Raw genomic sequence first — 27,684 nt, 5'->3', positions numbered from 1 at the left:
TGGGATGCAGGGAGTGCAACATTTATTTCATAACAGAACCCCTTTTCCACAGAGCAGCTGACAGGGGGCTGCATGAAACATACTTTGGAAATTAAAGTGAACTCTCCACTTGGGCATAATGTTATGTGGGCACATGGATTGGCTTAAAAGGGAAACAAGAATACTTCAACATTTGATCAACAGTAGGCAGTTGCTGGACATTTTAGAAAAAGGAGAAATCCATTTTTTGACCATGGCTAAACATGGGGAAACAGCATCACATTTTCCTGAACCACCCTAATCCCAGCCCCTCAAGATCCACCAGGTATGCAACCCCAAACCCCAGTCACATACATTAAATCTACACTTTTATTTTTTTGTTGTAAAATGTGCTTTTTCCTCAATGAACTTTAATCAGTCCAGGACCTACAAACACACACACACACACACACACACACACACACACACACACACACCCCACCCCACCCCCACCCTCCAACCAGGTGAAAAATCCCCGGCGATTAGTCTATAACAAATATTGACACGAGGGGGGACAAAAGCATGTTGAAATGTATTAGAATCAGAACCTGTACAAAAAAAAAAAAATTAAAATATAACCTGAAACTGTTCAAGTTCAGAAGTCTAGTTAAGTCTTTTTCTCTTGCCAGGAGAATGCCATCATCAGAGGGCTCTGGGTCATCAGCCAAGGAGGGGTGAAAAGACAGAAGCAGCAACAGGTCCTTCAGCAGACAGAGGGGCATCGATGCCACCATCCCTACCCAGGTGCAGCCAGGAGGAGTTAAAGATCTTGGGAGAGCAAGCATTAGCCGGCAGTTCCAGTGGGCAGCTGGGGCCTACACACCGAAAACAAGGCTGAGTAGTCAGAGGCAGCAGGAAGAGTGGCCAGGAGAGAACGCCAAGCCGGAAGGAACCATTTCTGCCACCCAGCAGACCCACAGCACCCTCTGTCTGTGCTCAGATACCAGAGGTTAGTCAACCCAGCGCTCTCAACTAATTGGAGATCGGAGCTGGGCTTAAGAGGCTGAAAACCCGTGGGTTTAGTAAACACAGCCCAGCATCACGTCCCTCCACGGCCTGAACTGGAGCTGCCAACAAGGGATGAGGCAGGAGAGGGAAAGCAGCGCATCTTGACGCCTGGCTAGAAATCACTGCACCATCGTGAGGACTGTGGTACCAGGGGCTGGAGAGGAGTGCCCCCTCCTCACAAGGGGAGGGGCCTCCTTCACAATCATCCCTGGGGGCTGGTTAAAGCTGCCTCCGGCTTATAACCAGCCTGACAAAATGACGTGGAGCAAAAGAAAAACTGGGAGGGAGACAAGCCCTTACACAGAGACAAGAACCTCCTGGAGGGAAGCTGGGCAGTGTCTGACCCTGTTTTGGGATGGCATTGGTGGAGCCCCTGAGTCTGAAGGGAACAACTGGGGAAGGAGGGAGTGGGTGAGGGGGAGTAACAGTTTTTCTGGAACAGTACCAACAGGGTGGGGAGGCGCTGGTGAGGGGACGGGCAGGTCTGGAACTCACTGCAGGTAGAGAGGGGAGGAAATGGGCCCTTGGTGTCCCCTCCCCACCTGACCCAGGCCTGGTGAGTGCCAGCTGCCCCAGCCGGCCCTAGTGGCGGCTGGAGACCAGACCTTTCACTTTGGACATCTTCTTGGTGGGCTGCCTCTGCTCAGCGTGAGGGGGACACTCCCGTTCAGCCAGCTGCTGCTCCATCTCCTGAGCCGAGGAGGATGCGGTGGCTTTGAGTGTCTTCTTGATGTTGGTAACCTGGTGGGGAGATATAGAATTGGAGTGCTCAGCCTGTATGTGCTCACCAAAACTTGCTCTCACTATGTCTTCACTTCAGACAGGAAGCTAAAATCCTCTGCAAGAAAACCTGAAATTCTCTTCAGAAATCCAGATGAGCAGAAACGAGCCTGGGCTACTCACAGCAGATTTGTGGAAATGAGTCAAGCAAAAATGTGGGACTAATGCTCTCCTGGTTGAAACAAATGGAAGGGGAACATTTGGCAAAGAGGCACATCACCAACAGTGAAATAAATCGTGATTAAAATGTCCTCAGAAAGAGGGACCCAAGAATTCTACACTCTGCTGTTATTCATTTATAAAACCACAAATATTTTCATAAAAACTTTGGGAATACAGCTCCATGAACCTTCTTGAATAAACCAGTAGAGGATGAACTTCAGCCAACTAAGTGAGAAATGAAGAAAATGTAATAGAAGTACTGGCAAAATGCTATGACACTACCGTGTGCAGTATAGCTTTCTTTCACTTAACAAAATACAGACTCGTAAATACTTAAGCAGCTCTTGAACATTTTACCACGTCAGAACAGATATCCTCTGTGACACTTGAACCCTATTCTATTAGGAAGGTTCTCCAGTTTTCCAGTTTTTTGAATTGGTTCCTAGTTTGGGTTTCAGTGCTACTCTGAACAGCCCTTTATGTTTACCTTTGCATACTTCTGTGAACATCTATGGAAGATACTCCTAGAAGTGAGCTTTCCAGATCAAAGTCGATTTACATTTTACATTTGAATCAGTACTGCTATATTGCCTGCTGAAAAGTGACTATTCCAAACCTTTGCTCCTCAGTTCGTTGAGAGGAAGAAACAGCAGGAAGAGGATGGTGGTGGTAGGGAAGAACAGTGCAGTCAAATAAGTAATAGCTTTTTTAGTCTTTTTTTTTTTTTTTTTTGGAGACAGAGTCTTACTCTGTTGTACAGGATGGAGTATAGTGGCACAATCACAGCTCACTGCAGCCTCAACTGCCCAGGCTTAAGTGATCCTCCCACCTCAGCCTCCTGAGCAGCTTGGACCACAGGCGCTTGCCACCATGCCTGGCTAATTTTTAAAAACTTATTTGTAGAGACAAGGTTTCACCACGTTGTCCAGGCTGTTTTCAAACTCCCAGGGTCAACTGACCCTCCTACCTTGGCCTCCCAAAGTGCTGGGATTACAGGCATGAGCCACCACACCCAGCCAGTTTTCTACATAGTGAAAAGGAGTTGTCAGGGTCAAAAGTTCTCAACAGTCAGAATATTATGAGCTTGAGGGTAAGAGACAGTCCAAATGCAAAGACAAAACAATGCTATGAGGGTGAGACAAAAATTGGGTTCCTGGAGGAGAGCCATCATCTGCAGAATCCACCTTAACTAGATCATAAATTGTTTTTTGTTGTCACTATTTTGAGACAGGGGGAAAAGCCATGCCCTAAACTTCTGTAACCTCAATCAACGCTGTAGCCTTTCTGAAGAGAGAATGACAGAGGACTGTGGGCTGGAACAGTCATTACAGAGGGCAGGCTGGGCATGGTGGCTCACACCTATACTTCTAGCACTTTGGGAGGCTGAGCAAAGAGAATTGCTCAAGAGCAGGTGTTCAAGACCAGCCTGGGCAACATAGTGGGACCCTGTCTTTCTTAAAAAAAAAAAAAAAAATTTTAGCCAGGTATGGTGGCATGCACCTGTAGTCCCAGCTACTCAAGTGGCTGAGGCAGGAGGATCGCTTAAGCCCAAGAGGTAGAGGCTACAGTGAGCCATGTCTGCACCACTGCACTCCAGCCTAGATGACATTCAAGTAAGACCTTATCTCAACAAAAAGACATAAAAGAAAAAAACATGTGCCTGGTGTGGTGGCACATGCCTATAGTCCTAGCTATTCAGGAGGCTGAGGCAGGAGGATCACTTAAGTCCAGGAGTTTGAGGCTGCAGTGAACTATGATTACACCACTGATTCCAGCCTGGGTGACACAGCAAGACCCAGTGCCTGGAAATATATAAATATATATATATATATATATATAAAATTTAAAAAAAAATATATATATATATATATAATAAACAGGGAGGGGAATTCAACTCTGGGTTTATCCAGTGTCCTGCCAGACAACAAAACACAATCTGGGAACCCCAGAACCCTGAGGCATCTCGCCCTCCCAGCGGCTCACTGCCACTTTGGTGTACCTCATTCAGTGAGTCACCTGGCAAGGTGGTGAGTGAATGATCTGGAGCAAGCCAATGGCTTATCACTCTTTCTCTGATAAAAGAAATATTATTTGTTTTAAGACTTTTTTTAAAAAATAGAAATGGGATCTTGCTATGTTGCCCAGGCTGGTCTCAAACTTCTGGCATGAACCAATTTGCCTGCCTCAGCCTCCTAAGTAGCTGGGACTACAGACACATACTATCATGCCCAGCTAAGGCATATTTTGATGACATTGGAGGAAAAATTAAGAAATTTGACTTCTCAGGGAACACTGCTTTATAAAATAACATTCTAAGGCTTCTCCAATTTGATATATTTTCTAAATATCCAGAAGAAAATGAACTAAAATCATAATAAGAGGTAACGACATGACTTTAGTTTATTTATTTGCATGTCAGTTACCTCTAACTTCCAAAGAAGATCCTGCAATTTAACATTACCTGAGGGAATGTGTTTTAAAGTCTCCCCAAAAGCTGACAAAATTTTAATCAAATAAGACATTAGAAAACAAACAAGTTTTTGTTTCAAGGACTGTATTTCCAAAATGGGGTATCTTTCCAAGCAAATAATTACCTTTCCCATTTGGCAAAATAGCTTTATTAAAAATTAAAAAAACAAAACCAAAAAAAATTCCTAATTTCATCTTGTCTGATAAGCACTATTTAGCCTTATTTCCTCAAGTTATTTGTGTAATAATTTTTACTAAACAATCAGCTTAGGCCAGGCACAGTGGCTCACGCCTGTAATCCCAGCACTTTGGGAGGCTGAGGCAGGCAGATCACGAGGTCAGGAGATCGAGACCATCCTGGCTAACGCGGTGAAACCCCATCTCTACTAAAAATATAAAAAGTTAGCCGGGTGACGTGGCGGGCACCTGTAGTCCCAGCTACTCGGGACGCTGAGGCAGGAGAATGGCGTGAACCCGGGAGGCAGAGCTTGCAGTGAGCCAAGATCGCGCCACTGCACTCCTGCCTGGGCTACAGAGCCAGACTCTGTCTCAAAAAAAAAAAAAAAAATCAGCTTATACTACAAATAGTTTTCTACATTATTTAACATGTCTTAGATTTACTGACAGTCTCATAACCCCTGCATGAGTAAGGAAAAGGCATTAATCAATCCCCAAATAATGGTTATATTTTCAATCCGCTTCACCTATGTTTTTGTAGCATAAAGTCATTATCAGCCTATCAGAAAGTGACAACCGGCATTTATTTCTCTCTTTAGAGTGGCCCAAGGTGATTTGGGCCGGCTTTGGACTCAGAGTATCTATGGCTGGGCTGAGTGATGAGTCCCTGACCTGCCAGCCAAGGAGCAAACTCTGCCTGTGGCACATCCACCAACGGCAACGCTCCGCTGCCAGCCTCTCAGCAACTGACCAGTTCAACTGACTCCCAAGGCTTTGCTGTTTTACTCTTTTTCTTTTCAAAGCTCAACACTTCCAATGCTTCTCCTTCACAGAGCCACAAACTCATGGTTCTCACTCTGGTCCTGAGGGAGCCCGCGCATCATCCTTCTGCAGTCACAGAAGGGCTGACCCTCTGCTTCATTTCTGTACTGCCACTCCCTACCATAACGCAGCCTCCCTCTCTCATGGTGACTCAATTCTATTTAAAAGCCTTTGAGATTCAAGATCCTGTCAAAAGCTTTTGAACAAATAAGTAGACAGAAGCATGGACACTTTCCCCTGTTATTCAGATGCCTATTTACTTCCTCAAGCCATTTTCTCCTGTAGAAACTGCTCTCATTCAGCTTTTTTAGGGGCTCAGTAACCCTGACATGCAATAAAAAGAAATAAGACTTGGCCCAGGGAAAAACTTGGTTTTTTCTCTAGTTCTGAAATACCAAGATCAGGTACCTTCCTTCCCACTCCTCAACACATGCCCTGCACTCAAGCCATCTCAGCCACACTCGTCCCCCACACCACACTTGGAAGCAGTCATTCCCCCTATGCCCTTCTGTTGTTCATGCACCCCGGGGGTTACCGCTCCTCCCCAGGTTGCCCCTCTGATCCTGCCTGGAGAGTTGAGCACCTGGTCCATACAAACTGCCCTGACTGCTGCAGCCCACACTGATCTGCCACCCTTCAATCTGTACTTGCCTGGCAGTGCCTCTCCCTCTTCGATGGCCTCCCACACCACTGCATCTCCTTTGTGTTTCAGATGCACACACCTCACTCCTCCAATAAGACTGCTGACAAATCTAAGTCCTCTACAGTCGTTACCACTTTGAGGCAAAATGTAAACATCCTGCAGAGGAAAAGAGGGCTTCTTGGGCAAGTGTCTCTAAGCCTAGGAAATGAGCCTTTTATCCTCCACAAAGGCCTGGCCTGGGCTGGGGCAGGGCCATGGCCCTCACACTGGGATCCATTACAGAGACACTTTGCTCAAGTCAGCTTTACCACTGCATTTACAACACACAACTCACAAACGAGACTTCTGAAGCACTGACAGACTCTCCTAGTGGAAGGGGATCTTAAAATTCAACTAGCTTCTTCCAGTAGCTGGGCAGTTGTAACCGCAGACAGCTCCTTCTAGGACTCCAAATTGGCCACCCAGGTAGGTCAACCAATTAAACCCATTCTGGTCTCGTAGACTTTCTTAAGAATTCCAATTCCTCTTCCACAGTCACCCTTCAACTGACAACAAATATCATCACCACAGACTTGTCTTCTTTTACCTAAATTTGGTAGAGTTCCTTATGACTTTCTTCCTCCAGTGGCCTGGCTTACAGGCTCCTCAAAACATGAACCTCAGAAATTTTCAAGTAAGATTGCACTGCTAGCAAAAATGCAGCCTAGCTCCATCAGAGACCTTAAATATTTAGGCAAAAGGAGAAAGAGCTTTCTGGGGCAGGAAACCTTCCTTCAGTTGAGGGGCAAAGCAAAGGCAGACGAGAGGAAACACAGTGCACAACTGGAAAAGTGCTACAAAGAAAAAGAGAACTGGGTGATGGAGAGTCCCTTTCCAAGAGGTACCAGGAAGCATACTTTTGGTGCATTGTATAAATCTCAAGATTGTCACTAACTCCTAGGAGATTTTCTACATAATGGAAAACAGAGCTTACTTTGTCCAGTTACACTTTACGACCTCCATGACTGGAACACAGCCTACTTTGTAAATGTAGCAATAGTTATAAATTAACATTCCACCTAACATCAGACATAGGCACATCCAAATATAAAGAAAAATGAGGCCGGGCGCGGTGGCTCAGGCCTGTAATCTCAGCACTTTGGGAGACCGAGGCAGGCGGATCACTTGAGGTCCGGAGGTGGAGAACAACCTGGCCAACATTGCGAAACCCCGTCTCTACTAAAAATACAAAAATTAGCTGGGCGTGGTGGCGGGCACCTGTAATCCCAGCTACTCAGGAGGCTGAAGCATGAGAATTGCTTGAACCCAGGAGGCGGAGGTTGCAGTAGTGAGCCAAGATCATGCCACTGCACTCCAGCCTAGGCAACAGAGTGAATTTCCATCTCAAAAAAGAAAAAAAGAAAAGTAGGTTGGGCATGGTGGCTCACGCCTGTAATCCCAACAAAGAGGGAGCCAGAGGTGGGAGGATAGCTTGAGGTTAGGCGCTCAAGACCAGCCTGAATAATACAGCAAAACCCAGTTCTCCCTAAAAAAAAAAAAAAAAAGAAAAGAAAAAAAATCAGCCAGGTGTGGTAGCATACACCTGTAGTCCTATAGTCCTAGCAACTTGGGAGGCCGAGGTGGAAAGACTGCTTGAGCCCAGGAGGTTGAGGGTGCAGCGAGCTGTGTTTGCACCACTGCACTCCATGCACTCCAGCCTGGGTGACAGAGACTCTGTCTCAAAAAGAAAATACTTTCCAAAATCAAATTTAAATGTGAAAGTGCTTTGTAATGCTCTAAGTATTACCTCCCCACCACAGTGCTTCCTCAGAAATAATGAAACAGCTCATAATGGTCCCCCAGGTATGCTGGAACTAGGAACTAATATGGGTTATTTCCACAAAAGCCTAAATGGAGAGAATATTCTTCGGCAGTCTGTGATAGGGCTGACTTCATTAAGAAGGAGGGCTCTTAAAGCTACAACTCACCAGAAGAAAGCTGTTGTTATAAGATTCAGGAGGGGGACATCACGTTTTTCCCTCTGAAAACAAGCAATCTAATTTAAGGACAAATAAAGAAAAGATCACCAATCAGTTGACAAAATTGGCTTTTAAAAGTTAGGCCAAGGGTAACAGAGGCATAAATACAAACAGAATACGACAGAATCACCCTGATTCTTTGTAGATTTCTTTTCCTTTCAAGTCAGTAGCTATTTGGTGAGTATCTTCTGTGTGCCTCAAGTAGGTGGCAAGCAGCCTTCAACACTTAGCAGCCAGATCATGCATTTGCTAAATGGAAAAAATGACAAGGTCCTAAGCTTTGGCCATGCTCAGGGAACAGACCATATTGGTCTGGTTCAGATTTTCTAAAAGATTATTACGTCAATGGACTGTTTTAATTGGTGGTGGAGGTGGCCTTGGCCTTTTGCTCAGATTTCTTTTTCTCAAACTTAAATCCTTACCGCCACCTGCTGGCAGCACCAGGCTCTGCTCGTGCACACACCCACCCTCTGTGTTTAAATAACCAAAATTTAAAGAGTCTACACTGTTGTGTAACTACACGGTGTGCCTCAAACTTTAGCCAAGTGTCTACAATAGCTCTGTGCACACCCGCCTTTCTTTTGTCTGATGCTATTTATAATGAAAATAAACTTGAACAGTTCAAAATTCTAAAACAAGTATCATTCATCTTTGTTAATGACCTTGATACCAAAGATTAGGTAGTGTGGTTAGCCTCCCAACCTCATTTTGTACAGAGTTTGATTTATAGGGAAGAATAAACAGAAAGGAGAAAGCGGTTAGCCCTTCCTACTTTGTTCAGACCTCAATCCCAAGTCAGAGAAAAGGCCACCATCATCAAGAGGGTTGTTGCACAGCTTATTAGAAAAGCAGCAAGCTTATTTTCCTAATTGTCTTTGCTTTGGACTAATGTTAAATATAGTTAACACTTCCTTGCCCAGGCTGGTCTCGAACTCCTGGACTCACGCAATACTTCCTCCTCGGTCTCTCAAAGTGTTGGGATTACAGGTGTGAACCACTGCACCCAGCCTCATACTTCCTTGGCTAGTCGGATTAAACATGGTCTATGAATTGAACATCCACAGAGTATATGTATATAGGGTGGTGTGTGTGTGTATTCAAAAAAATTAGCTCAAGTTCATGAAAAGCAGAGTTCAGCAGTCCACTGACACACTTTTATGGTGTGCCAGAAATATTCAGTTCAACATTTGAGTACCTACTATGGGTTAGGCATGAGACAAGACGCTCGTCTTACAAATAGGACACAGGTTTTATTTTCAAGGAGTGCATATAACAGTATAGAGAATCACTCCAAATTTCACAAATCCCCCTTTGAAAGGCACCATCTACTCATCTCTTATGCTTCTTAGCTGGAATTACGGGTCCCACTCCGCCACTCTTAGACACCTGATTTTCAAAATTCATTAAGCATCATTAATACTTCAAACTCCATTCACACTAGAAAAGAACTTCCAATGCTAAGGAAAATCAGTGCAGGGCTCCAAATAAATTGTGAAGTGAGGTCACTTCATGTGTCAGGTTACAGGTACACAAATGCCCATAACGCAAAGGCTGGGGCCTACATCTGTCCAAGAAGCTAAAAGTTTCCTCAACAACCAGGTGTCACTAAAACCACACTTACATCCTCTTTACTTCACTTGCAGCTCATCTGCCAAATTTTATCCCTTTCTTCTTTCCGTATGAAACATGTCATGCATTTTACACATTTATAATATATATGTACAGTTCACAGAGAAAGAATAAAATGAAACTATGTGCCCACCACGCAACTTAAGAAGCAGAACACTCCCAGGGCCTTGAAGCCCCACATGCCCCTGCCCAGCTGTACCCCTCCCTCCACTCCACCTGGTAACTTACCACCATCCTTCTATCCATTTTTAAGATCCATCCCCAAACTCATTTTCTTTTGCTCTATAGCTGCAAAGTACATGTGTACTGAAACTACAACATTCTCTGTTCTCCAAGCCTGATTGATCACCCTATGCTGACCAGGAATCAGAAAAAAGAGACAGAACACCAAGAGCAGGAGCCGTGTCACACTCATCCCTGTAACCCAGCACCTAGCCCAGGCCCACTTGTTGGTGACTGCTTGTTTCATCTACACCAAGATTCGCAAAACAAAAACATAAACACTGCAAACGAATAAACAGGTATGCCTGGAGAGAGAAACAAATGTTCCTTTCCTTCCTTACCTCTGCTTCTACCTGCTGCTGAGTTCGGTTGTGGTTCTCTTTGTACTGGTTGGCTCTCAGAACTTGCTGCTCGATGCCCAGTAGAACTGCTTCACAGCCATCACACCTACAATGGAGAAAACCAGCCCTGAGCTGCAGAATGGCCTGGGAAGTCTCTTCCAGGCTCAGAAATATTCTTCCCCAACAGCTCTCCCCAGTATCTTACAGGGACCTCCTTTAATACTCCCTCTGCCACATCTCTTGCCCGTTCACTCCTTCCCAAAGACAAGCACTTCTAAATACATAATGCAGGACATTAGGAGACAAATATGGTAGTCTGGGGCTAGTTTCTTAGAATACAGCTTTAATTTTCAACTTTGTATCTCATGGAAGATGGTTTTGTAGCACATACGATTAAAGAAGGTAGGACAGGCCGGGTGCAGTGGCTCCCACCTGTAATCCCAGCTCTTTGAGAGGCCGAGGTGGGTGGATCACCAGGTCAGGAGTTCGAGACCAGCCTGGCCAACACAGTGAAACCCCATCTCTACTAAAAATACAAAAATTAGCCAGGTGTGGTGGCGGGTGCCTGTAATCCCAGCTACTTGGGAGGCTGAGGCAGGAGAATCACTTGAACCCGGGAGGCGGAGGTTGCAGTGAGCTGAGACCACGCAATTGCACTCCAGCCTGGGTGACAGAGCGAAACTCTGCCGCAAAAAAAAAAAAAAAAAAAAGAAGGTAGAATAGATTTTATAGATGGCACTGAGTAATCCTTTTCTCAACAGAAAAAAAAGATGTTCTAGGCCAGGCGCAGTGGCTCATGCCTGTAATCCCAGCACCTTGGGAGGCCGAGGCAGGCGGATCACCTGAGGTCGGGAATTCGAGACCAGCCTGACCAACATGGAGAAACCCCGTCTCTACTACAAATACAAAATTAGCCAGGCCTGGTGGCACACGCCTGTAATCCCAGCTACTAGGGAGGCTGAGGCAGGAGAATCGCTTGAACCTGGGAGGCAGAGGTTGCGGTGAGCTGAGATCGCACTATTGCACTCCAGCCTGGGCAACAAGAGCAAAACTGTCTCAAAAAACAACAAACAAAAAAAGATTTCCTAAAAGCATCCTGTTTTGAAGATTCCGCCTTTTCTCAGAAGTTTAAGTTACTTCCTAATTGCCATACCCCTCCTCCTATTTTCCCCACTATTAATTTTTTTAAAAATGAAAAAGTTGAAAGACTACAATGAATATCCCCATACCCTCCACTTAAGATCCAACAGTGTGAGCATTTTGCCATATATGTGGTAGCCCTCAGCCTATGAATTTTGTTTCAATCTACCTCCAGTGCCTAAACATGAGTTGTAAGAGTTTCTACTAGTAAACATCCCATGGTAACCAGTTAGTCTGGCACCTCTATGTCAAACATATTGGGGGCTTAAAAACAGGAAACCAGACTATGGACATAAAAAGCTGTGTCAGCCATCTCAAAAACAGAATAGGACAGCCAACTTTGGCAGGTTCAGAAACTAGATTTTGTGTGCCAGACCATTTTTGTGTTGGGGTATTTCTAAGTTTATTTCTTATTTATTCTAAGTTTTGTAAGCTATTGAAAACTTCCACTTGTGGCAGATGTTGTATAGAGAAGGTGTTTGGGGCTATATTTGGGACAGAACTTGGGGTGAGGGGTGAGCAACACATGTCCTGGGGTGTAAAAGTAGCTGAAGTGAGGGAAACTCAGGGGACATCAGGCCCCAAGGAGTCAAAGTGGCACTGCTCCTCTCTGGATATGCTTCTCTCGGGGATGAGCAGAGATTCTCTCTCCCTCCCGAACCTGTGTACAAAGCTCACCGGGTCTGCTTCATGGCTTCCAACATGCCACGTGCCTGCCTGGGAACACACTCTCCTCACCTCCAGGTATACTCTAACCCTGGCCTTCCTTCAAAACTGAGCTAAAACTTCTCCAATCAGTCCATCTGGCTTTATAAGCCCCAAATAATTTAAATCACTCCACAGTGAATCCTCGTAGAATGTGAGACAGCTCTTACAAATATCAAATTCCATTAAAACAGAGAAAACACAAATGTCCCAATGCTTTTTATATACCAGAGTATAGTTATCAGATATTCTTTGTATGAGTCTGTATTCCAAGTTAAAATGACCCACTCCTTGTCTTCCATGTCCCTCACGGTGTTTTACAAACATTAGCCCAATATGTTACTGATTTTGAACGTAAGTTCTTTTATCCGAAGAATCTTATAAACATGTTAACTTCAACAGGGATAGAAAAAATAATAAAAACAAAGAAAGAATCTTACAAACACTAGCCTTCCTGAGTTTGGTCAAACTTTGAGCGTGAGTTTGGAAAGGGCAGGACTAGCCTCACACAGCTAGGACACATAGGCTCCACCTGCTAACCCTGGGCATTTTATAGCCCACTTTTAAATAGCTCCCAGTTGCATTTAAGGAAAGAACTATTTTACAACCAAGGCACCAGGAGGCCTGAAATGACTCCTGTTATCACACAGCTGTGATCACAAATGTAGCTCCACTCTCCGGCTCACTAAGCCCCAGCTCCCAGGTAGCTACAGGCCCACCCCAAACCCTCAGCTGACACCAGGGAATCACATTTTTGCAAGGAGAGGCACAAAAGACATGCTAGATATCCCCCTCCTCCTTTTAGCCTCACCATTCATGCAGGGTCTTGACAATATTATTGATATCCTTCTTTCGGATGTCACGGCCAATGCAGAAATCCACTTCCAGCAGCTGGTTTCGCTGGTCCAGCTTGCCCTGGATGATGTCAGTGTAGACAGCCTCAATGATAAGGTCTTCTAGTTCCCGGAGATTCCGCATCTCCAGGTCTTTCAGCAACACGGAGTAGGGGATACACTGTAGATAAGGCCATGTGATCATTATAAAAACCATCTGGCAAGCATTAGCGAAAATGCAGGTATTACTCCCATAGCCAACAGCTGCCTCTAGGCTCGGGAAACGCAGGCTAGTGGTAATTATTAATAGCTAGGGCAACAAGAGGTGGATAAATGAACCATGAGACCTAGAAGACCCAACATCTAAGAAAGCAACCTCCTGGTTCTCTGCCTCCTTGGCTTCACCCAGCCTTCAGATTTCACATGCTGCAGCATACTTGTAGAGATCCTAAAAACTTGTACCAGTGGAGAGAAAGGGAACTACTGAGTATATGCCACTCTGCCACCTTCTGGAAGCTTTCAGACTTTGCTAGATCACCATAAATCTCCAACAGATCCCAGTCACTGGAAAGAGCTGGCTACTTGCCCAGCAGAGTGCAAAAACAAACAAAAAAAACTTGCAGGCCAGCATATCTACCTATAGGTGGCCAATGGGTACTGCCAGCTCAGATGTCACCCTGAAGTTTGTATCTGTTTTCTCAGACACAACCAATATGAATTCCCCAACAATAGTTCTTTATTGGGCTGTACCAACATTCTTTACTACACTTGAGAAGTCCACAATCAGTACAAGAAAAAAGGTCAGGTCCTCATTTCACAACAAAATAGGCCTCCCACCTGAAATGCTAGGCTGAGAATCAGAAATGTGCCATTAGATCAGATAAAATGATTTCAGCAACTGAAATTGCAATCCAAGAACAAAAAAACCAAGTGCAGTGGCTCACACCTGTAATCCCAACACTTTGGGAGGCTGAGATGGGAGGATCGCTTGAAGTCAGGGGGTTGAGACCAGCCTAGGCAACATGGTGAGACCCTTGTCTCAATTTAAAAAATTTTTTAAGTTAAAAAGGCCGGGCACGGTGGCTCATGCCTGTAATCCCAGCACTTTGGGAGGCCGAGGCAGGTGGATCACCTGAGGTCAGGAGTTCAAGACCAGCCTGGCCAACGTGATGAAACCCTGACTGTACTAAAAAATATAAAAATTATGGGCATGGTGGCAGGTGCCTGTAATTCCAGCTACTCGGGAGGCTGAGGCAGGAGAATCACTTGAACCCAGGAGGTGGAGGTTGCAGTAAGCCCAGGTTGCGCCACTGCACTCCAGCGCAGGCAACAGAGCAACACTCTGTCTCAAAAAAAAAAAAAAAAAATTAGCCGGGCGGGGTGGTCCACGCCTGTAATCCCAGCTACTTGGGGCTGAGTAGGGGAATCGCTCGAATCTGGGAGGCAGAGGTTGCAGTGAGCTGAGATCACACCACTGCATTCCAGCCTGGGCGACAGAGTGAGACTCCGTCTCAACAACAACAACAACAAAAAATCTAGCAAGTCCGACATAGCAAGTTTTTCCTCCAGCATGGGCATAGTTCACTGTGTACTGAGCAACAGATTAAGCTGTTAACTTGCCTTGAGATGCCTTGCTATTTGAAAAATGTATATCTTTAACAGCAGTCTCCCCTTAATATGGCAAAATGATCATGCCACATGCGGCACCACAGCATGCCAGGACTAAGACCTGCTGAGTCAATCACTTCTGGGCATACTTTTCCTGTATGGAATGGGGAGTACTTTTCTACACCATTTTATCTTTTCCTCTGTCAAGCAAATTTTATGCATTTATGATGTGACTCTCCTATGTGCAGCTGGGACTTCCTTCATTGATGTCAATGAGACAGCTGACTTGGGGTAAGGAGGAAGACAAGAGAAGGCTCAGTACCGTACCTTCATTCTTGATGCCAAGCTCACGATGGTAAGATGCTTCAGCTTGTTCTGCTGAGCTGTGCTCAGTTCTGGCAGGCTCTCCTTGTTGGCTGCTCAGTCCCACCCACCACAAAAATCAAGACACAAAATAAAATTAGGATTTCTTTTATGGAATAAGCTCACCAACTCCCCAAACCAAATCTACTACTGAATCACTATCATGACTTTGCACTTATTCATTTGACAAATATTCCTGTCTTCTTTGGAAGACTATGTACTTCCAAAGAAGAAAAGACTCAGTTTCTACAAACACAGAGTTTAGTCTCCTAAAAAGCAAACAAGCAAAATGATGTGGCAATTATCTTAATGGAGTACTATTTGTGCCCCTTGTGACATTCAATTAAATTAAACATATCTTCATCGAGCATCTGTTGTGTGCAATGCTCTGTACTGAGAAGAATCAAGGATGAACAAGATGGGCTTTGCCAGGGCTGCTGCATGGCACAACTCCAGGGCCACCAACCACCTGGAGGTGTGCAACTTCATGGCCCTGGACTTGTCCTCGGTCTTACAATCAGATGTTTCCATAGCTACAAATCCAAGGCAGAACTACCAGAAGAAAGGTACAAGCTACTAGAAGAGAGGAGGAGAGGGATGGGGAGGAGACAGGGGTAAGAGAAAGAGATGAAAGGGGAGGGGAGAGGGAAAGAGAACAGTATCATTTGGAAAGTACAGAAGATAAAAAGAAAGAATTCATGGAAGAGATGGAGTTTGAGTTGAGCCTTGAGAAAGAGGCAAAATTTCAATAATAACCATAAATGATAATAACAGCAAGGGCAGCAGCTGCAGCAGCTAACATAAATAGCAAGCTTTACATCTTGTGGATTGCATAGATCCACACGTACATACACACATCCAGTTCATCTTCACAACAACCCGCAAGACTCCAAGTGTCCTCAATTCCTTAACGATAATTCTGGATTCCAAAAAACTATATCCAAACTGATTTTTTCTTAAGCATGGTGCTGAAATTCACCTGGTGGGAATTTCTAACCTGTACGGAGACAGGCTTTTTATCCCACTTGTTTCCACATTCCTCTGGGAGTGTTACATAAAAAGGCATGCGCATCATATTACCTTTTTAAAGTCCCAAAAATTCTAAATTCTGAAACATCTAACTTCGAGGAGTGTAGGTAAGGAATAATGGGCTTGTATTGTTACTCCCACTTTACAGACGAGGAAATTGAGCTGCATAAGGTTACTTCATTTGTCAACGAACACACAACTAGTAGAAGTGGAGCCAGACTGGCTACAGGCAGTCTGCTAACAGAGTCTGTGCAATGCTGCCTCTTTAGTAAGCAAGGACAGAAAAACAGAACACATTCCCTGGAACAAAGGGAAGGTCAGAAAAAAATGTGGTGTACCAGGAACTGGCAAACTGTCCAGTCTGACAGCAGCACAAAGTAGAAGTGACCAGGGAGAAAGAAGAAGTCAGGGATATCGCAGCGAAGGCCCTGAGTATCAGGCTACAGTCATACCATTAAAAAAGGGTAGGAAAGCCAGAAAAAAATGCTTTGGGTAGAAGGTAAGTTAGTGTTTGGACATACAAATACCTCAACCTAATACTTCAGATTATAATTTAAAATGACCCAAATGCCCTGCAACAGAAAATGAGCTAAGTAGATTATGAAATATTAAAAATATTAAAAAGACTTAAAATATGGATAAATGTTTGTAAGTGGGAAGAAACAAGCAAGACATAAAACTGTATACATAGTTGTACCTATGTAATACAAAACACAAACATAAGGGGCACAAAAAAGTCCAGCATCCAAATGTCTGAGCAACATATGAGTGACATTTATTTATTTATTTGTTTGTTTGACAGAGTCTCGCTCTGTTGCCCAGGCTGGAGTACAGCGGTGCAATCTCAGCTTACTACAGTCTCTATCTCCCAGGTTCAAGCAATTCTGCTGCCTCAGCCTCCGGAGTGGCTGGGATTACAGGCGCCCACCACCACGCCGAGCTAATTTTTGTATTTTTAGTAGAGACAGGGTTTCACCATGTTGGCCAGGCTGGTGTAAAACTCCTCACCTCAAGTGATCTGCCTGCCTCGGCCTCCCAAAGTGCTGGGATTACAGGCATGAGCCACCGCGCCCAGCCTATGAGTGACTTTTAAAAAGTCTATTTTCCAAATTTTCTTCAATATGCTGGTATTATTTTGATAATATTTAAAATGTTGAAACATTCTACAGGTGGGTATTCTGCACTTCACAGCACTCCAAGAGCCCTACAAACACCAGTCCTCAAGAATCTCATCTGGAAAACAAACAAGGGCTACATTTGTGGATGAGCACACACAGGCCCCATTTGACCCACTAGAATATAAAAGGTGAGAAGGAACATTCCCTTTGTGAGGTCACCCACCGGGCACAGCAAAATGGGAGGCAGCCAGGTCAAGAAGTCTCCCCACTACCCCATGCTTTATATCTCAAACCTTGATGGTCTTCCAAACTGAGCAACATAATTAACACAAGTCTTTTGAAGGATCTTCACCAACTCACCTATGTAATCTGGGTATGTCCCATAGGCAAACAGGTTCAACAACTGCAAATAAGCAGCATTAGCTCCTTCCGCAAGCTGAAGAGGAAAAAAAAAGTTCACCACAGACCAAACTGTCTACCAATCACTGTAGTGTTCAAACAGAGGACGGGTGAGCATGTGTCAAAGATGCCATGGCTGTTTATTCTGTACTATTTGATTACTTGGCCCCTGGGGTCTCTACCAACTCTGGTTCTTCGGGAAAAAATAAACAAGATTATTAAAGCCCCAAATTTAATTTCTCTCTCTCAGGAATGTTTTACTTTCTATACAGCATGCCCAACGAACTGCTTTTCTCTCACACACACATACAAAGCATTAAGCATTGGAAGGAGTTCAAATCTTCTCAAGATTCTGTTTGCATTAAAACAAAGACTGGAGCAGCCCTATCTACATACCAGCTTGGTAGGTATGGCATGAGCCACCACCAACCCAAAGTGAACAAAGCTCAGGGTTGGTTCCAAGTTTCAGGACTACACGTGGACTATGAACCCTGGGAGAGACCAGCACATCATAAGGTATGACAGAAAGCCAGGCTGGGACAGAAAACCAGGGTATCAGTCTGCCCCAAATCAAAATGTTCATTAAAATTACTTACTCTTCACTGATGCTGATGGCAAAAAGCCATGTGTAGAAGAAAAACGAAAGAGCCACTGTTCTGCCTGGAACTTCTCTGCTGTCAATTACGTTAACTGGTTGTTGTTGTTGTTGTTGTTGTTTAAATCACAAACGTGGGCCGGGCGCGGTGGCTCACGCCTGTAATCCCAGCACTTTGGGAGGCCGAGGCGGGTGGATCATGAGGTCAGGAGATCGAGACCATCCTGGCTAACAAGGTGAAACCCCGTCTCTACTAAAAATACAAAAAATTAGCCGGGCGCGGTGGCGGGCGCCTGTAGTCCCAGCTACTTGGGAGGCTGAGGCAGGAGAATGGCGTGAACCCGGGAAGCGGAGCTTGCAGTGAGCCGAGATTGCGCCACTGCAGTCCGCAGTCCGGCCTGGGCGACAGAGCGAGACTCCGTCTCAAAAAAAAAAAAAAAAAATCACAAACGTGCTCCTGTTACCCTTCCAACTTACCAAGCCCAGTAAACTCTAAACAGGAATAGCAAGTGGTAGTCTACAGACAGCAATAGCGATACTACTCAATTTTAGCCATTAAAAAAAATAAAGCTTCCAAGAAATGCATCTATAATTTCAGATCACTGAAAGGCAACCAGCTTATTCTCAGCTCACATATGGAAAAACGCAATGTATGGGGAGATAAAGGTGGTCTGCTAAGCACCCTATGGAGAACTCCAGCACCATAATACCTCAGGCTACTTTCTCAGGTTACCACAAACCTCCTGAAGTCCCTGAATCAGAAGGGGAAGAAACCTGGTAAAGACCATCCAATCTAGCCCCCCTTTTCAGAAACATAATTAACAAAACTAGCCGGAAAAGAGCATTTTCTCCAGAGCAGATACTCCAACACTTCTCCCACTGGCCTAAATCAATAAGGTCTTTCTGACTTTACTTTCCATCCATCTCCTCTTAGCCAATCTTCCACAGTTACAAAACAACTACTTGGCATATTCATGCAGGCTGTTCATGAACCTGAAGGAACATATTACCCCTTGGTCATCTCTTGTGTTGAAAAATGAACTCAGTTTTCTGAAATTTTCTTCATAAAACTCATTTTCCACTTCTGGTAAATTAAATTTTTATTGAAAGCCTACTGTGTGTCAGGCTACGTATTCAGCTCTAAAGAAACAATGGTGAGCACTACAGACCTCCTCACAGAGTTTATAGTTCGGCAAGCAAGGCTGACATTAAATAAAAATTTACAGTGAAAAAGTAAAAGTGGCTCTTCTCATCTCTGAACATCACAGGTAGAGGAGACATAATTGGGCACCTGAAATGGCTGGACTGTAGGGAACTGCTCCAGTTTCCCCATCAAGAGGAATAGGCAGACACACAGCACCGAATCCAATAAACTGAAGGCCGGCAACTCCTTTGGTTACAACTAACTGATTCACTGAAACTCCTGTTAAAACTGACTGTGGGTGTGGAGCCAACAGCAAAGGTGTTGTGGTGGTCATGAAGGTGATAAACTGCCCAACAAAAGCAAACCACCTCCTATATGCAAATCGCCACCACCAAGAACTCCGGGGCCACTCTCAACAGCATCCAGCACATGCTCCACAAGAAGTACCATCACCCAGATCTATGCATGGCAGCTTCCACAGAGCCAGCACCAGTCTGCATAGCCAGAAGCCTGTGAGGATGAAGAGGAAGGGGACCTGCCCCACCAATCCGCCAAAAGCTCCTGAGCACCAGCCTCCACCCCACAAAACAATAAAGATGCTTACAGACTTTTCTCAATAAGTGAATAAATATAAATAAATAAAAATGTTCAAATTGGAAAGTAGAGGTTGAGAAGTATAGATTGCTTTACATCTCTTTGTTCCTTCTGTTCAATGGATCTTCTCATTTTTGAGGCACAATGACCAAAACTGGATATCCAAGGTTTTAATAACAAGCAAGCAAACAAGTAAAATGAACTATGTCCTAGCTTTTCATGTCATATCTAACACATCTAACACATTTAGCACAACACTGCCCTTTTCCTCAAGAACAATACACTCCTATTCATGTCCATCTTATGTTCAATAGCAGTATGTTTCTGCTGTGTGTCCCTGACCAATCTTCCTTATCGATATTGCACTGGAGGTTTCTGGTCCTTAAGAATGCATGAATCTACTCCTATTAAACAGCCCATGCTTACAGCACTACTTTTCTAATTTATCAGGATCAATTTGACTTTTTTACTATCTTTTAGGTTATTATTAGCAACAATCTAATTTTACCCAAGGTAAGATAAAAATACTGGATAAAAGGAGCCAAGGATATTCTCTCAATCTCTCCCTCTGCCCCACCAATTCCCATCTGTCTCACAATAGGGTACCTCACAGGTTCACAATACTTCAGCACTGAAATTCTTTGGAAACCTGGAGAATTACAGAGTCTTAGAATAAAGAGAAATTGTTTGCAAACCGTTCTTACCTCCTGCACGTTGGCCAGCTCCAGAAGTTCTCCAAAGACATACACTCCGGGAGCCTCTAAGACCTGGCTTATGAGAGCAGTGAGGGCTGAGCCACTGGTACCTTTGGCTAGTAAAATAAACTGCTCCAGGAGATTACTTGAGGGTTTCTGTTCCCCTGCCATTCTCTGGCCTTGAAATCTGTCCAAAAGAAAATTGTGTCAGTCATTCTTCCTTCTCCTTTGCAAAGTCTGTGCCTATTCAGTGCTGAATCAAACACCAGAATACTTTACTTTTATAGTGTTGATAAAGAAAAAACAGGACAAGTGCAGTGGCTCATGCCTGTAATCCCAGCACTTTGGGAGGCTGAGGCGGGTGGATCACCTGAGGTGAGGAGTTCGAGACCAGTATGGGCAACATGGCAAAACCCCATCTCTACTAAAAATACAAAAATTAGCTAGGCTGGTGGCAGATACCTGTAGTCCCAGTTACTTGGGAGGCTGTGGCACAAGAATTGCTTGAACCCAGGAGGTGGAGGTTGCAGTGAGCCAAGATTGTGCCACTGCACTCCAGCCTGGGCAACAGAGCGAGACTGTCTCAAAAAAAAAAAAAAAAAAAACAGTTCCTGAGTCCAGATGCAATGACCACCTTATGAGATGGGTGGAGTTCAACCTGGAGTTAAAAGGATCTTGTCCTAAATTCTGGTGTTTGAAACACACTTTGTAAAAGTCATTTCACTTCCACCTGTCCCTCCTCCAGAGGCAACACCTTCTAAGTCCTTAAACCTGACCAGGACCTAAAGAAAAACACATGAGTTTCTCAGCAGCTGTTTTATATCCACCTCGTTTATACATTCTGGTTAAGAAATGGAGGATACTGCCTATACACAGAGGCACCGGATGTAAGCAAAAGCAATCAGTTACAGCTCCCACTGTGTCATCAGAATCCAATCTACAGCCAGACAGATAAGGAAAACAAAAAACCAGACAAGAAAGATGTCTCATTTAATCAAGTCAAGTAAGCACAGATAAAGGGAGACATCATTTTGAAAGAAAAGTAGCGATATATTCAAACTAAGAACATACATGCTGTGTAAGACCATGGGGAAAAATCCCTGTATTCGGCCTCCTCCTGATACGACATTTTAACCAAACGTGACTTCAGAATGTGTAAAAAAAAAAAAACCTCAAGAAAACGATAAAAAGATTTGGGAAAACAGTGAAAATATTGTATCAGCGCTCCGAAGACATTAAGTACAGGAGGGTCCCTCAATTGTGTAATCTAATTACACGCTGAGTGTACAGGAGTTCCAGGTAAGATTTCTCCTCCAAGAATGATACATATTAGAGCAGCGTGACAAAATGAACGAAAAACGGTATAGTAGAGTGCAGCAAAGAACAATTTGAAGAATAGTTTGGTGCAAGAGGAACTAAGTTTTGTGTTGGCAGGCACACAGATTAGTTGCCCTTTCACAGTATTAGAGAAACAAGTATGTCGCCTCACTTAGGGTTACCTAAGAAGGTCCGGCCAGACACAGGAAAAACAATGAAGTGCTGGGGAACAACGAGTTTGAGGACGGAAGGGAAAGGGAAAAGAGAAGGGGAGAGGATACGAGGAAGAAGGAAAGGAGTAGGGAAGAAAGGAGGGTCGGTGACGGTAAAGAGGGAAGGAGCGAAAAGGCCCTTCCAAGAGGACCCGTGTGAAGAGACAGATGGGGATCTCTGCAAAGAGTCCCAATGTTAGGAGGTGGGGGTGGAGAGGGGGTAGGGAAATGGAGAGAAACTTCTGTCCCTTCAAAAAATCTCGGCTTAAGGAGCAAAGCCTGTGGGCGCAGAGAATGTAAAGAGACGGAGACAGTCGCTTTCTTCTGGAGTGGGAGGGCCAGAGGCTAGGCACAGAGCGGAGATAAATTCCCGTCAGGGGAGGGCGCTATTTGGATGGACTGGAGAGGGGCAAACGAGCAGCCTTTGGGGATGGGAGAGCGAAAGCAGCCACAGCACTGAAGCTGAGGGTCGCAAGCTGCAGCAGACCTCACGGTGGGCGGTATGCTCCAAGCAGGGCCGCAGGCGTGGAGTGAGGAGCCGCGGGACGCGCTCCCCAAGGCGGGGGCGGGGCGGGCACGGCCGCGGGCTTCCTTGGCGGCGGGCTCTAAGCCGGATCGTCTGGCCGAGCCTGGAGCGCCGGCCCCGCTCGGCCCACCCTCTCGCTAGCTCCTACCTGTCCACGCCACCTCTCGGTCCTCTTAGTCGCTGGCTCGGCCTCCCGGCGCCTGCCCGCAGGTTGTCAAGCGTCCATGATCACCCCGGCGTCCGGCGCTTTTCTGTCTCCGCCGACCCGTCGCCCGTGCAGCTCCCCCGGAAGCCTCCCACCGCTGCACTCGCGTTCCGCCCACACAAGGTTCCACCCGCCGCGTTTACAGCCTTCGACCTCCGGTGGGGAAGTGGGAGCGAGGGGGCGGGGAAGAGTCTGCAGCCCGGGAACCAGGCGGGGAGGGGGTGGCTAGGGGCCCAAGGAGAGGAATGCGGCCTAGACGGTACTGCAGCCCAACCGTCGCCATCGCCATCCCGGGCCCCAAATCCTCCCCTTAGGCTGTGCTTTCTCTCTCAGGAGCTCCCCATGGCTACTGCGCTACCCCTGGGCACCGAGATACATTAAGCCTACTAACTACCACTTATTGAGCGTTTTACCATGTGCCAGGTGCTGTACATGCATTATCTCGTTGAATTCTCATAACTGTGGCTTGTATTATTGTTCCCATTTTTCAGGTGAGTTAACTAAGTCCAAAAGTCAGAAAGTGACAAAGCTTGCTATCTTTGTCAAACCCAGGCTATCTGAGGCCGAAGACGATGTTCTTGACCTCTATTCAGAAAATGTTTTAAAATAAGCAAGAGATGGGTTAAGCCAACAATGGTTCTATGACCAAAATGTCATTGATAGAGTTGCATCTGGTGCTTACCAACTCCCCTGGGAAGATGGCTAAGAAATGCCACATAATTGAACACTTAAACTGATTCCTGTATACACCACAGTCTTTCAGGTCTTGAAAATGAGAGAGAAAAACAGCCCTATTTGCCTATCGTGCGTTAGAATGCAGAAATGAGACAGGACAAATGCAAAGGAGCCTAGCATCAACCAACTCATTCATTTATTCAAAAACATTTCTTTAGCACCTATTATGTCCTGAAAAGTTATATGAAGATAAAACAAAGCTCTTACCCTCAAAAGCTCCAATGTGTTAAATGCTATGGGGAAGATATGACAACACTTTGGAAGCACAGAAGAGGTTGGGGAAGAAAAAAACAGACAAAAAGGGGAAAAAAGGGGGGTAGTGCCCATTGTCACAGAGGCTCGCACTGTGCAGCATATACTGATGTCAAAAAGAAACCCAGAGTGGTTTGACCCCAGGGTTTTCAAGAGTGAGAAATGAGGGGTACAGAGCTGGAGTCAGGTCATCAAAGGTCTTGGAATCCACATGCCAGGTACTGGGGAATTACTTAGGCTTTTTAAGCTAAGGAGAGGTATGAATAATTGCCTTGTTAGAGTGATCATGCTAGGTGCTATAGGAGTGGATTGGATGTGGAGAGAATTGGAGGCAGGGAAAACCTCCGGTGAGGTGACCGATTTATTCTAGATAAGAGATTGTGTTGCCGGGCGCGGTGGCTCACGCCTGTAATCCCAGCACTTTGGGAGGCCAAGGTGGGCAGATCACCTGAGGTCAGGAGTTCGAGACCGGCCTGGGCCACATGGCAAAACTCTGTCTCTACTAAAAATACAAAAATTAGCTGGGCATGGTGATGCACTACTAATCTCAGCTACTCTGGAGGCTGAGGCATGAGAATCGCTTGAACCCAGGAGGTGGAGGTTGCAGTGAGCCGAAATTGCGCCACTGCATTCCAGCCTGGGCAACAGACTGAGACTGCATCTCAAAAATACAAACAAAAACAAAGGTAGTGGCAATTGGGGATGAAAAAGAAGGGACACTGTTGGAGACATTTAGACTATAGAATCTATAAGACTTGGTGACCAGTTGAATATAAGGAGAGGGAGGGAGCATAACACCCAGGATTCTGCGCTGGGAGGCCAGAGCTGTCTAGAGCTAGTGTTAAGTGAACAGGGCTATGGAAGAGGAGGGACAAATATGAGAGTGAGAGGAAGACAAGTGAGTTTAGTGTGACTTCATAGAAATTCCAGCAATGCCTCTACTTCCTCTAGAACAATGTCCAGACTCCATGGCTGCAATTTGGATTTAGTATTTTGGTTTTTTTTTCCCTTAAGAGACAGAGTCTTACTCTGTCACCGCGGCTGGAGTGCAGTGGCACTATCATAGCTCACCTCAGCCTTGAACTTCTGGGCTCAAGGGATCCTACCACCTCCACCTCCCAAGTAGCTAGGACTAGAGGTGCGTGCCACCACACCCGGCAAATTTATTCCTTTTTTTTTTTTTAAAGATGGGGTCTCACTATGTTGCTCAAGCTGGTCTTCCCTGATCTCAAGTGATCCTCCCACCTTGGCTCCCAGAGTGCTGAGATTACAGGCGTGAGCCACCACGCCCAGGCAGTGGCTGCACTGAAAGCCCTTCAAAGTGTGCCTCCCTCCTAACTCCAGCTTTGTCGCACCCCACCCCCTCCCCCTTCTCAGTCCAAACTCCCATGCCCGGCACAACTTACACCCTCCCTCTCAGACACCACACCTATGCTCAAGCTTGCTCTTTTTTGGAATGCTCTTCTATCAGCCTGTAAAAAACCTGCCAACTCTAAAAGCAAAGATTTCTGAAATCCAATGCAAAAAACACTAACCATAATAAAAAGCACGGAACTATTGCACTGTGTTAAAATTAAGAATTTCTGCTTGTCAGATGCAGTGGAGTACACCTATAGTCTTACTATAGCTACTTGCGAGGCAGAGGCAGGAGGATCACTTGATCCCAGGAGTTCGAGGTTGCAGTGGGCAATGCTGGTGCCTGTGAATAGCCACTGCATTCCAGCCTGGGCAACACAGCAGAGACCCCATCCCTCAAAAATATAATTTGTTTCAAAAGACACCAGTAAGAGAGTGAAAAGACAAGCCATGCCTTGGAAAAGATATCTGCAAAGCATATATCAAAGAACTCCATATCCAGACTGTAAAGAACTACAAATCAATAAGAAGACAGCCCAATTTTTAAAAGTTGGGAAAAGAACAGGCACTTCACGAAAGAGGACGTTCAACTAGCCAACAAGCACATTGAAAGGTGCTCAACATCAGGAAAAATGCAAATAAATACCTTAATGAGATACCACATTCAGCCAGAACGGCTACAATTAAGAAGACTGACAACAAAACTCTTGTGTTGACAAGGATAAGAGGCACCTAGAACTCTCTCATATTGCTGGCAAAGGCGTAAATTGGTACAATCATTTTGAAAAACTGGCAATGTCTACTATCACTGATCATGTGCATACCCTCCCTACACACTAGCAATTCCTCTCCTAGAAATGTGTGCAAGTGTCTACAAAAAGAAACATGTAAGAATGCTCACTACGGCTTTGCTAATAATAGTCCAAAAAATAACAACCCAAATGCCCGCCAACAGTGGAAAAGATAAATTGTGGTATAAACATACAACAGAATACTATTCAGCAATTAAAAGGCTACACACAACATGGATGAATTTCACAAAAATACTGATAAAGTAAAAAAGCCAGACACATACTGTACATACTGTATTATTATATTTAACTGGAATTCAAGAACAGAGAAAACTGATCTATGGTGATACAGTCAGAAGAGTGATTATCTCAATATGTAAGGATGTAATACTGATTGGGAGGGAGCACTAAGTGTGCTAGAAATGTTCTATATCTTGATTTGGGTAGTGGCGACAGGGGTGTATACCTATGTGAAAATTGTTCCCATACTGTATGTTACACCTCATTAACAAAAAAAAAACTTTTTTAACATGGAAAAAAAATTCAAGTTCAAATGCCACCTTGTCCATTAAAGTTTTGCCAGCTGCAATGAACCTTTTCATCAGGGCCTCCTTAGCATTCTGATGTCATTTCTTTATGCCATTTTATCACACTCCATCTTGAATCTCAGTGGAGTCTCCTTATTTCCCTAAATATATGTTCATCTTCCTGGTGGCAGTGACCATGTCCTTCACCTTTTACCCACTCAGTGCCTGACAAATAACAGGCTGAAAAGATATTTGTTGAATTACATGGAAGAAAAAATTGGGTGAGTTCCCAGATGGGTGAAAGTGGGGACAGGCAGAGGAAGGAAGGCCAAGAGAAGGACAGAGGAGGTTTCCAAGGAAACCGTGGCTCACACTGTAATTTTACCTACTTCCTGAAATCACATTAAATGTCACCTTGAGTGGCAAAAAACAAAACACCAAATCCTACCTAGGCTGAAAATAAATAAATATCACACTCCCTCACTCGCAAGAAATCCACCAAATAAATGCTACCTAATTCTGGGTGTTTCAACAGTGGATAGGAAAACCGTTCAAGGAGAATAATTCACATTGCCATGCTGCTAAAAATATCACCTCCTTAGTGTGGTGCAAAGAGTCCAGACTGCAAGTCAGCCGACTTAGGGCTGAATTCTAACTCTGCCCGAACTTGCTGTGATCTGTGGCCAATCCCTTCGCCTCTCTGGGCCTCAATTTCCTCATACGTAACAACAGGGGATAGATTAGCAAAGTCCCTTTATGTTTTGATATTCTGAGTATACAATCCATAGCTCTCCCGGTGCAAACCAGGAATACAGCAAAAAACCCTGAAATACATGTAAAAGGCGCCTCAGACCAACAAACAAGCACGATTTGAAGAAGTCATTTTGTTCTCTTTCACGGTTTAATCAGTGTTTTTGTTTGTTGTTTGCAGCCTTACCATGATTTGCAGATGTCTGAGTTCCATGTAAACAGAAGTTAACTCTCTGCGGGCTGTCATCTTCTTTTGAGGGTGAGAAGGGTCTTCCCGTTGGGTTTCAAGTCTCGGGATTCCGAAACGACCAACTCAGCGGGCGGGTTTGTGAATTTGCGCACACTGCGCGGCACACTGGAGTCTAAGTTACAGAGGAACCGAGTGCAGGGGATGCTGGGATTTGTAGTCCCCGGGCCTCTTTGTGGTGCGCTGGGATCTGTGGTCCCCCGAGTGCGCCGCTGGAATGCTGGGAAATGTAGTCTCTGTCGCGTCGCACAGTG

General features: G+C 45.0%; 1 protein-coding gene and 1 pseudogene across 13 annotated transcripts, besides 3 other annotated features; one reads left to right on the top strand and one right to left on the bottom strand.

Moving 5' to 3' along the window:
- Positions 1-27,583, bottom strand: COPS7B (COP9 signalosome subunit 7B). 13 transcript variants are annotated; one of them, XR_001738900.3, is made up of 9 exons: positions 22,716-22,809; positions 20,522-20,699; positions 17,446-17,521; positions 14,903-14,991; positions 12,946-13,148; positions 10,290-10,395; positions 8,228-8,346; positions 8,047-8,114; positions 1-1,767 (listed from the first exon to the last, which is right to left on the bottom strand). XR_001738900.3 is itself a non-coding variant. In XM_006712693.3 (8 exons), exons 2-8 carry the CDS (start codon positions 20,681-20,683, stop codon positions 1,635-1,637), a joined length of 837 nt encoding a protein of 278 aa, XP_006712756.1. In that variant the 5' UTR covers positions 20,684-20,699; positions 27,371-27,583; the 3' UTR covers positions 1-1,634. The 13 variants fall into 13 exon arrangements, 11 of the variants coding, with proteins under 11 accessions (XP_006712756.1, NP_001295310.1, NP_001269879.1 ...); XR_007080108.1 differs by having other exon boundaries at positions 8,047-8,099; XM_006712693.3 differs by lacking the exons at positions 8,228-8,346; positions 22,716-22,809 and adding an exon at positions 27,371-27,583.
- Positions 19,368-19,768, top strand: RPL28P2 (ribosomal protein L28 pseudogene 2; annotated as a pseudogene).
- Positions 22,552-22,811: a silencer, noted in NCBI's record as "silent region_12449". NCBI's record gives its function as "represses an Ori minimal core promoter by ATAC-STARR-seq in GM12878 lymphoblastoid cells {active_cell/tissue: GM12878}" and the evidence as "EXISTENCE:reporter gene assay evidence [ECO:0000049][PMID:35858748]".
- Positions 22,902-23,081: a silencer, noted in NCBI's record as "silent region_12448". NCBI's record gives its function as "represses an Ori minimal core promoter by ATAC-STARR-seq in GM12878 lymphoblastoid cells {active_cell/tissue: GM12878}" and the evidence as "EXISTENCE:reporter gene assay evidence [ECO:0000049][PMID:35858748]".
- Positions 23,092-23,171: a silencer, noted in NCBI's record as "silent region_12447". NCBI's record gives its function as "represses an Ori minimal core promoter by ATAC-STARR-seq in GM12878 lymphoblastoid cells {active_cell/tissue: GM12878}" and the evidence as "EXISTENCE:reporter gene assay evidence [ECO:0000049][PMID:35858748]".

The sequence above is a fragment of the Homo sapiens genome, chromosome 2 (assembly GCF_000001405.40).
Source record: "Homo sapiens chromosome 2, GRCh38.p14 Primary Assembly".
NCBI classification, from domain to species: Eukaryota; Metazoa; Chordata; class Mammalia; order Primates; family Hominidae; genus Homo; species Homo sapiens.
Note: the sequence above shows the minus strand (reverse complement) of the source record. Positions and strands in the feature narration are given on the sequence as shown.